This window comes from Homo sapiens, chromosome 21 (assembly GCF_000001405.40).
Source record: "Homo sapiens chromosome 21, GRCh38.p14 Primary Assembly".
NCBI lineage: Eukaryota > Metazoa > Chordata > Mammalia > Primates > Hominidae > Homo > Homo sapiens.
In genome coordinates this window covers 29,492,290-29,503,531 of record NC_000021.9, presented here as the reverse complement: position 1 = coordinate 29,503,531, position 11,242 = coordinate 29,492,290, and the positions used below count along the sequence as shown (strand labels likewise).

The 11,242-nt window shown below is 41.9% G+C and overlaps 2 long non-coding RNA genes across 2 annotated transcripts; one reads left to right on the top strand and one right to left on the bottom strand.

The window, feature by feature from the left end:
* Positions 1 to 3,145: 3,145 nt before the first annotated feature.
* BACH1-IT3 (BACH1 intronic transcript 3) lies at positions 3,146 to 7,485 on the bottom strand. The gene is made up of 2 exons (NR_146594.1): positions 7,294 to 7,485; positions 3,146 to 3,359 (listed from the first exon to the last, which is right to left on the bottom strand). It is a non-coding gene; the product is annotated as a BACH1 intronic transcript 3 (long non-coding RNA).
* Positions 7,486 to 7,610: 125 nt separating this feature from the next.
* Positions 7,611 to 10,635, top strand: LOC105372770 (uncharacterized). The gene is made up of 4 exons (XR_007067840.1): positions 7,611 to 7,697; positions 8,040 to 8,166; positions 8,262 to 8,358; positions 10,603 to 10,635. It is a non-coding gene; the product is annotated as an uncharacterized LOC105372770 (long non-coding RNA).
* Positions 10,636 to 11,242: the final 607 nt, after the last annotated feature.

The following is an 11,242-nucleotide window of genomic DNA, read 5'->3' as shown; positions in this document are numbered from 1 at the left end:
CATAGTTTTCTCTCTTAACTCTCCAGAAAAACAAGAAAAGACGTAAAAGGAAGCCTCGGGAACCCCCAGGGTATTCACTCCCTTATAGGAAATGGCTCAATCCCAGCCCCTACATTCAACCATTCGTGGAATAGCTTTCTTTATTTTTAGTCCACAACTTAATTTTTTGAGCTGCTCAAAAAACAAAACCAAAAAAACAGTGTAGACTGTTCAACCATTCATAGTCCCATGTGGGAGACAATAAGTAAAATAAGCTAATGGAAGGAGGAGACAACTTCTAAAAGTCACCTTTACAACATAGCCCAGATAAAAAATACTCAATTTACATGAGCAAACAGCAGAATCTGGATGGCAACAGATGGAAATGTCAAGGTTTCCTCCTAAGAATCATAGATAACTACTAGTCTTCCATTTACAGAGCTTAAACGACCCCTTTAAAGAAGACATTCAGCTTCGAAAGATTGTAGGTTATTTTCTACAGGAACTTAAATTACCGGTAACTTCCACCCTAAAAAGGCAATTCTCTGTCTATATATTTGAAAATGTTATTTCTTCTTCCCCAGGCACCCCACTATGGAGTTTATTTTTTCTCAGTCTTTGAATGTAAGATGCAGTTGTTTTTGCCTGGAATGACTGAAGGGTTATTCTGCCTTTGAGCTATATATTAATTATTTCATTCTCTGGTTCCATAATTCTGTGCCACACATAAAATATTGTCAGTGTTGACTTGTCACTGAAGAGGACAGCCCTACCAATTATAGAGAGAAGTAGTTCTCAGTCTCTTCACTTCTCCGTTTCCTCATTGAGAAGCAGAAAGTGAGAAATAATTGCTAAAAAAGTCCCGCAGAGGCAGTGTGGGACATACCTAGGACTTGAGAGTGGCACCATTATGATTCTTTTTTTTGAGACAGAGTCTCGCTCTGTTGCCCAGGCTGGAGTGCAGTGGCACGATCTCGGCTCACTGCAAGCTCTGCCTCCCAGGTTCACGCCATTCTCCTGCCTCAACCTCCCGAGTAGCTACTACAGGCATGCATCACCATGCCCAGCTCATTTGTGTATTTTTTGTATTTTCAGTAGAGACAGGGTTTCACCATGTTGGCCAAGCTGGTCTCCAACTCCCGACTTCAGGTGATCCACCCACCTCGGCCTCCCAAAGTGCTGGGATTACAGATGTCAGCCACCATGCCCAGCCACCATTATGATTCTTTATGGTTCTTACCCACTAAACAAAATTGCCTTCTTTCCTTGAACATGAAAGGGACAGAGCACCTTTGGGAAGGTTTATCTTCTTCCAGTCTCTTCAGAAAATAACACCTCACATTTCTCCTACTCCTAATCTTCAGTAAGTGATGATGAGCCATTGTCCCTGCTACAACAAATTGCTACTTTAAAAAATTTACTTTCAAATTTAGACAGTTTCCACAAAGAAAGAACATTTTCATGCTAGATGCCTGATCTCCCAGAACACTATGCCCTTTTAGTGGAAAGGAAACCCAGCTGGTGTTCTAGAGAACAGAATCTTCACTGGCTCTGGTTGTTAAATTGCAAATCAAAATAAAATAAAAGATCTATATAAATAGGCATTACAAATGACTAATGAACAGAGCCTAAAGGCAAGATACATCAATAGCTTGGGAAATGCCCAAGTTTCTGCTTTTCAGCGTTGTTGGAAATACTATTAAGGACATTATGTTTCATTTTGCTTTCATCATTTGCTTAATAAAAATGCATGGTATGACATTCCCATTTATTTTTCTACTCTGAGAACATTAAGTCAAAAGCATCTCCAGTTTCACCCATCACCTAAAGAGTTATTTATCTGTGACTTTTGAATATGGCATTACATGTTTTTATACATTATAGCATCATCCTTGCAAAATGTGCCCAAAAATATGACTCTAGGTTAAACAAATAATAATAGTCATCAGGGAAAAATGAACTGGTGCTAGGCGAGGAAGGAAAAGATCATCTCAAGCTGAGTCCTCAAAAGAAATGTGAAGCTAATGAGGCAGATATGTGCCAAGGGGGTGGGGGAAGCCACAAATGACAAGTGTGACAGAGAATATTTCTGTGTCAGTAGGATCTTTTCAGAGAAAGAAAGGGAAATAAGAAAAGTTTCAAACTTAGAGCCAATCCCAGCACTTTGGGAGGCTGAGGTGGGCGGATCACAAGGTCAGGAGATCGAGACCAGCCTGGCCAACATGGTGAAACCCCGTTTCTACTAAAACTACAAAAATTAGCTGGGTGTGGTGGCACACGCCTGTAATCCCAGCTACTCGGGAGGCTGAGGAAGGAGAATTGCTTGAACTCCGGAGGTGGAGGTTGCAGTGAGCCGAGATGGTGCCACTGCACTCCAGCCTGGGCGACAGAGTGAGTCTCTGTCTCAAAAAAAAAAAAACAAAAACAAAAACAAAAAAAACCTAAGAGCCACATCTTTTTATGCATAATGAAGAACCAAAAAACGTGTTTTCATAGGAGAAATATTGATAATAAAATAAAAATTTTAAATGGATAATGTGGCAAAGATAGGACGCCAAGCAAAGGTTATCCTGGACACACAGAACATTTTAAGCAGCCTACTCCCATTCTCTCCTCAGCATGACTGTCAGTCTGCATAGAGTGACCTGAGAATTGAACCCAACAGATGCCTTGTGGCTTCTTGCAAAAGAGTCTTTCATTATCTTTGCCTGTGATCTCTCTTCATATGGTAAAATCTATAATGGGTCAATATCATTCCATTCACCATGACAGCATCTTGGGCTCCTCTCCATAAGGAAAGATGGGATTGGTGGCTTTGTGGCTGACCCTTTATCGCAAGGATGTATCATGTGCTTCCTATGTAAAATGGGAAGAATTTTACCAATTACATGAATTATTATTACTGTAACCTCTCCCCATTTACCCCACTAAAGTCTTCTTTGCTTGGTAGTACATTAAGAGCCAGAATGTGATAACCTCTGCCCAGCTCCCTTGCTATGAAAGGGCACTAAAATACTCAGGTCTGACTCTACTTTTTCTCAGCCTATCTGGGTTGGTCATTTTTATTCCTTCCATCCTACTTACCCATGTCATACTCTGGATATTTGAAAGAACTTCTGATCATGAATGATGGAGAGATATTGTAGAACCTAAAATGGGCTGCCAATTTTTTCATTTCACAAGTATTTATTGAGAACTTCCTTTGTGCCTGGAATTGTGTTCGGGGCTGGAGACATAAACCTGAGGGCTCAGGCAGCTCACTCTCAGGTGGAAGAGGCATCCTGGCTATAAATTATTGTGATAACAATGTGTTGGGTGCTTTTGGAGTTGTGAACTGTAGGCACCGCCTTCTCAGAGCTTCCAGAAAACAGCAGAGGGAGCTACAAAGTTTGGACAGAGTGGTCACGGGTCTATCCAAACTTCCCTAGTCCGCTATAGTGACCCCTATTCTGTGCTCTTCATTGTTTTCTTTGAAGAGCGCCCAGGCTCCCACCATCTGGAGGAGCAATAGGGGATGCCATGGCGCAGAGCTGCCCAGGCTGCCCTGCCTGCGGCCTGCTCTCTGCTGCCCCTGCAGGGCCTGCGGTAAATGGGCTCATTTATTCCCAGAAACATTTTCTTGAACCTAACAATATCCTCCATCATTTAAAAAGCAATTCCTGAATTCCCAGCTGCCACAGGAGGGCAGCAGAGACAGTAACCCTGAGCCAGAATCTCTCTACAGGGGCCCTGTGGCTCCCCACATCAGCCATGGGTGTGTGCTGACTTTTTTGCCTCGGGTATGGACAGGAGGTCGTTGAGAAGGGACCAAGCCAATTTCATTCCTCCCCAAGGGGAAGCATTTTTCTGAACCCCACTAGCACCCTCTCTTTGGGCCCACAGATCTTTTGCTTATCTCTTCTAAAAAGTGAAAGCATTAAAAAAAGAGAGAGAGAAAGACAGAGAGAGAGAGAACCCCACCACACCAGTGTTTCCTGTTTTTTCAACTTAACAAGCCAATTGTTTCTGTGTCTCTTTCCCGCTTGAAAAAAAGAATAAAGAATACACCCAAGGTTGCAGACAGGGTGGGGTTGGAGGAGGCCAGCCTTCAGGGAGAGTACTGAGCACCTATGGGGGAATGTGTCCCCAGTTCAGAAAGGTTTTCCCTCAGTCTTCGGCCATTCATGGCAGCCCTTGAGGAAAGACTCCCCTTGAGGAAAGACCCCCATAGACCAAGCTGGTTAGCCAGACACTGCGGCTCTTTCTTCATTTTTTCCTGGTTGGTACCAGCCCAAGGAACACAGACCCTAGTGTTACCTTCGCAATGTGCTCCCTATGTCCCAGGCAATTCATTAGCGTATTGGTTAGCAGGAATTTTTGCTCAGTAGCACATTAGAAAAGACCATGGAATATTGTTATTTCTAAAATTATTTTCTATTTTTCTTTTTTTTTCCTTTTTAATATTTTTTTATCTCTTCCTCCAATCAATCCCTCAAATTCCACCACCATCCACATTCTCCCGGGCTCCTGACAATTATGTTTAGCCCAACTCTAACCACAGGCTTCAGAGGCTGTTTCCTCCTGATTTTCCAAATGAGGCAAAATTGGAACCTCATTTTTGTGAGCTTCAAGCTCACAACCAGCAGCAACTCAGCGCATGCTTCTGCACACATGATGTGGACGTGCTTTTAATCTTTCTTGTACCTTTATAAGCAGATCCTCCCAGGCTTCTGCAGTGTAGGAGAACGGATATGGTTTTATTAAAAATAGTGTCTCAATTTCAATAGCTCTAAGTTCCCACCTGCTTGATGGCAGTGCTGAAGGGAGCCCCTCAGAGCCTCCTCTGCTATTCCAGGCATTCCAGGGTGGCTTTGCAGGACAGCAAGGAGGAAATCTGCTCCTGGACTTTGATTTCAACCTCATCTGCTGTCCACTGCCTGTACCACAGAAGGCACCTTGATGAGATATTGCTCCATGGCTTTCAGATCCTCTGAGAGAATAGGGGTCATGGATCTCTCCACTACAACTTTGGGTACTATTTGGTAGCCACCCCAAGGTCACAGGCCGCCTCAATAATACTAGGATCATGGTCGCAGTCACCTTTTCCACTTAAGCCCTGAAGTTGCTCTGTTCATGCTGGATTCGCAAGTCCTTAGGCTTCTGACTTAACCTACTCCCTTACTAGGGTTGAGAATTGGCTCTGCCATACTCTAGAAAGGGAGTAGGACACAAGTGCCCCCACTCCTTCCGTACCCTTATTTATTCTCTTCTTTCTCTTTTCTCCAGTTGCCTTTGTCCCTACAATGGGATGAATGGTGTCTTCTCAAAAGATATATCCAAAGCAATGTAAGTGCTGATCAATAGACAAATGAATAAAGAAAATGCGGTGCATATACCCAATGGAGTACTATTCAGTCATAAAAAAATGAGATCCTATCACTCATAACAACATAGATGGAACTGGAGGTCATTATGTTAAATGAAATAAGCCAGGCGTAGAAAGACAAACTTCGAATGTTCTCACTTATTTGTGAGAGCTAAAAATTTTTTTTAAATTGATCTCATAGAGATAGAGAGTAGAATGATGGTTACCAGAGACTGGCAAGGGTAGCTGGGGTAAGGAGTGGGGATGGTTAATGGGTATAAAAATATAATTAGATAGAACGAATAAGATCTAGTATTTGATAGTACCACAGGCTAACTACAGTCAACAATATTTTACTGTACATTTGAAAATAACTAAGTATAATTGGATTGTCTGTAACACAAAGAAAGGACAAATGCTTGAGGCAATGGATACCCTATTTACTCGGATGTGATTGTTACACATTGCATACCTGTATCAAAATATCTCATATACCATATATATATATATATATATATATACACACACATACTATGTACACACAAACATTAAAAATAAATAATTTTTAAAGATATATCCAATTGCTAACCTCCAGTACACATGAATGTGACCATATGAAAATAGGTCTTTTGTAGGTCTTCACAGATATAGTTAAGGATCTTAGAATGAGATCATCCTGGATTTCAGTTGCACCCTAAATCCAATGACTGGTGTCCTTACAAGAGAAAGGAGAAAGAGATTCTAGACACAGGAAGGAAGAAGGCCATAGGAAGATGGAGACAGAGATTAGAGCAATGCTGAAGATGAAGACAGAGATTGGAGTGATGCTACCACAAGCAAGAAACACCAGGAGCCATCAGAAGCTGGAGGGGGCAAGGAAAGATTCTCCCCTAGAGCCCTCAGAGGGAGTGTGGCCCTGCAGACACCTTGATTTAGGACTTCTCACTTCCAGAACCATGAGAGAATGCATTTCTGTTGTTTTAAGCCATCAAGCTTATGGTAGTATGTGGCAGTCCTATTCTCTCAGAGGGTGTGAAAGCAATACCTCATCACGATGCCTTCTTCATGACAGGCAATGGACAGCAGGCGAGGTTGAAATCATAGTCCAGGAGCAAATTTCTTCCTTGCTGTCCTGCAAGGCCACCTTGGAATGCCTGGAATAGCAGAGGAGGTTTTGAGGGGCTCCCTTTAGTGCCGCCATCAAGCAGGTGGGAACGTAGAGCTATTGAAATGTAGACGCTAATTTCAACAAAACCTCATAAAAATATAGCTGTCATCCTACTCCTGAAGCCCCAACCTGTCCTTCTACTTATTTCAGTGAAAAAAATTAAAACTCAGGCAAATAGAAACTGAAGTAAAAGATGCCTCCTAACCCCTCTAGGCACGAACAACTGAGTCCTAGCTGAGCACAGTCCTGGGTTCGTCTGGTGTCTTTTCCTTGAAGACCATTTTGTTGACACTCCTTAAACTTAAACACTAGATTTCTTAGGGTTCTTCCAGCTAATCTTATAGACACTAGTTAGACAACATGTGAATGGACTTAAAATTAATACACTTTAACTCTACCACTCACTTTGCAACTCAATGCACTCTCCCCTGCCCACCAACAAGCAAAACAAGCCATCCATAAGTTGAGAATTGCAGAACCTACAGTTCCTGTAATTTATGTCTAACTGCCCAAGATAAGGATTATTAGGTCTTTCCAGACTTCCTCACTCAGTATTCTAGTTGACAGCAGGCCTCTGTTCTCAGGCCACTCTCTGGAACAAACACATATTTGAATTCCTTCCAACCAACCAAACAAACAAACAAAAATAATAACGTTCTGTCTCTCCACCATGTTCCTCCCTGAAGAAGGAATAGATACTATTACTCTCTCCCCCTTGCCATACATAAGAGGCAGTCTTCTTGAAAGAGAAATAATCTTTGGGGACTATGGTTAAAAGCATCCATTTTGGCCTTAGACAGACCTATGTAAAGTCCTGGCTCCATAATTGAGCATGTTATTCTCTCCAGGTCTTGCTTCTTTCTTAACTAAAAGGGGAAGAGCCCCACAGTTATACTACAAGAACACAGTGAGATGAGGCAGTTGTAGAACTAAGTAAACAGAAAGGACTGTAGAGGATAAAATGGTAACGAGTCTCTGTACAGCCCAGGAAAAGGATAAGAAGGAAGGGTTTGGAGTTAAAGCAAACTCATGAAGGACTCCTAGACCTCTAGATGCGCCAACAAGGGACTGTTGCTCAGGCATCAGGAATCAACAGAAGGTGACTGAACAGCCACTGACACAGGCCCTACCCGTAGCTTCTACATCCCTCTTCCATCACAGCACAAGCACACAGAACCCTAATTGGTAGTGCCAGAGACGCAGCAGGTACTCAGAGATGGCTTACTTCCTGCATCCAGAAAGCTGAGCACATGGTGTCCAAGGGCAGGGGAGATGTATCCATGACTAGATGTTCAGCGTATTTGGGAGAGAACCCAAGGGGGCACATTCAGAGTAGGCTACTATAACAGGAAGACTGCTCCTTAAAGCAGACCACACCCTGACGTCTCCTGGGTGGTGATGAGTGGGTTTGTATATGTGGGCTCCCTAGGAATTCTCAGTGTCCATATACAGTCCACAGTCATCATATTGATATAATTAGGTGCCCTATGTGAGATTACTCTTTTCGTCTTTAGCAACAGCAATTTTAGCATCTTTTTATGTGGACAGGGACAAAACATCACCTTGGGTCAGATCTCAAGAAGGCCCTTTGGGTTTCACAGATGAATGACAGGCAACCCCAGAGCACATCATTTGCCTCTCAGTCTGCCAAGAGAGACCTCTAGCTATGCTTGATGTATGTAAAATATATTCTTTTATGTTAATTACGCTTTCACATATAACACAGTGTTATTTAAAAGATGTGTAGTTTACATGTATTGATATTTCTAGACAGGTATAGAAAAGAGGAGATGGAATTTGTGATACACTATGAAATGGATCACCAAGGGAAAATTTTCACAAATAGAATGGATTGCGGTTCCTGAAGGTAGTAATTCTTGCCTACTTGCTTCATGGGCTTGTTAAGAGAATGAAAATCAAAATGAGATCAGACAAATGAAAACACGATCAAGATTTCAGAAATTGAAAATAACACTATCATTATTATTTTTAATTAAAGTCCTTTATATGGGAATTACATACTTGAGCTGCAAACTCGGTGACCTGGCCCTCAGGTGCACAGAAAAGTTCTGATTAAAATTTTAATAACCATCTTATTACAGGTAGAAGGTTTCTCAACAGTGAAATAACAAACGGCCATGGTAGTTGGATTCTACTATTCCCAGGCTTCCCCATTCTAGGCCCTGTTCCCCCAAAACACTTTCAACACAAACACATTCACACACACACACACCCATACACTTCACAGGTGTCCAGGGGCATCCTTCTGTCTTATGAGAGCAGCCCTCAAGATAATGCCTTGGTGAGTTTAGAATATTTTTGTTTGTTTGTTTGTTTGGTTTGGTTTGGTTTTTTGAGACAGAGCTTCTCTCTTGTTGCCCAGGCTGGGGTGCAATGGCGCGATCACAGCTCATTGCAACCTCCGCCTCCTGGGTTCAAGTGATTCTCCTGCCTCAGCCTCCCAAGTAGCTGAGATTACAGGCACCCACCACCATGCCCACCTAATTTTTTTGTATTTTAGTAGAGACGGGGTTTCACCATGTTGGTCAGGCTGGTCTCAAACTCCTGACCTCAGGTAATCCACCCGCCTCAGCCTCCCAAAGGAGTTTAGAATCTTTACAACAAGAAAAGAGAAACCTTTTTGTCTTCTTCTTAGAATCTCTTTGAATAAATTTTTGAAAGTATTCTAGTATTCTTTAATCTGTTTCTCAAACTAGCACAGATCATCCTATTTTACCTTTTCTTTCAATTGATTTCTTTAAAAAAAAAGCCCCCCCCCACAAAAATATTCATGATTGATGAAAAAAGGCACCATGATACGGTTGTTGTGCATGGACCTGCCTGTCAGCAATGACCACAGCTCACCTGAGAGTAAGATTACAAAATCACAAACAGAAAATGACTTTTATAATCAGCCTCCAAAGCTAATGCCCAATATATGGTACTTTCTGCTAAAGCTCCTGGAAATCTTCCCACATGCTCTACATCTGCATTTGCAGACCCTCTACCAGGAGCTAAATTTATCCTCTGTTTAGTGTTTTATTGGATTTAAAAGAGCTAAACAGAGAGTTTTAAATCTAGGGGGGATATTTGATGAAATAAAAACTGGTGAAAACAAGGACAACTGGTGAAAAATGGACAAGAGGGTTTTACAGATCCTCCATCTTCCTAAATGTCCATCCCTTCCAGACTTCTCCCCTCAATTCTTGTGCACCTACTCTGAACTCAACATGTGTCAGATACTGAGGGCATATGGAAATATGATAAACCAGATTTCCATACTTTAGGGAACTTAGAATCTATTTGAAGAAGTAAGACTAGCACAGGAACAATTAGTTCTCAAAATATATCAGTTAGATGAAGAATTTGGTGAATTTTAAGTGCCTTAAAATATCACCAAAAGGAAGCTCAGTGTGAACTCCCAGAGTAATCTGGCAAAGTACAAGATGAAGTGAGGGACATCAGATGAGTCTTGAAAATTGGGAAGCAGCCCGGGCACAGTGGCTCAGGCCTGTAATCCCAGCACTCTGGGAGGCCGAGGCGGACGGATCACCTGAGGTCAGGAGTTCGAGACCAGCCTGGCCAACATGGAGAAACCCTGTCTTTACTAAAAATACAGAAATTAGCTGGGCGTGGTGGTGGTAGCCTGTAATTCCAGCTACACGGGAGGCTGAGGCAGGAAGAATTTCTTGAACCCAGAAGGCAGAGGTTGCAGTGAGCCAAGATTGTGCCACTGCACTCCAGCCAGGAGTCTAATTATTAGGAGTCTAATTATTAGGCCATTGCAAGTCATCTGGGAGAGAAGCAGTGGTAGCATGGAGTAAGATTGTGGCAGTGGGAACAAAAACAAGTGGATGTATGGCAGAGCTGTCTAGAAGGCAAAGCCAACAACAGTGGTGTTTGGCTGCAAGAGAAAGAGAGGGAATGGTCAAGGGTGACAACCCAGATGATTGACAAGTGGGAGGATGGTGATTACCAATCCCTGAAACAAGAGCGAGGGCAACAGAGTGAGGCTCTGTCTAAATAAATAAATAAATAAAGTACTGTTATAACTGTAAGTTTATTTCAAATTCTAAGGTGATAACTATTTTATTTCCATTTTAAATTTCAGGTACCAAGCATTAAAAAAAGTTTTGTGACTTAACCAAGATCACAGCTAGTTCTTGCCAATGGGACCCAGGTCTCCTGACAACTAGACAAACTCATTCCACTAGACCTTACTGACTTGCAGTAATTTTTTTGCCCTAAAATGGAAATTCTTATTTTGGCATTCATTCAACTGAAGAGATATATAGATATACAGGTGGCCTTATATTTAAGTGCAGGATGCTCCACTGTCTTTTCCAAAACTCAAGCAATATTTCTCATTTCCTTTATTTATTTATTTTATTTATTTATTTATTCTTTCATTCATTTCACAGATGTATTGAGCTACTGCTACATGCCTGACCTGGTTCTAATTTCTGGGGATAGAAATGATCCTTTCTTAACAGAACTGGCATTAAACAAATAATTACAATTCCTACCAAGTGGGAAAATACAGGATCCGATAGGGAGTAAACAAAGGGAGTTCAGAAAAGTCCTATCAGGAAAGTCACCTTTAAGATGTAAAGATGCCCAGTAGTTAAGTGATAAATAGGGACACCTATGTTTCTGCAAGACAACACAGCATGTTCAGGAAACTGAAGGAAGACTTGATGGCTACACCAAGTGAACAAAAAGCAGAGCATTTGAAGAAGGTGGACAGTTTT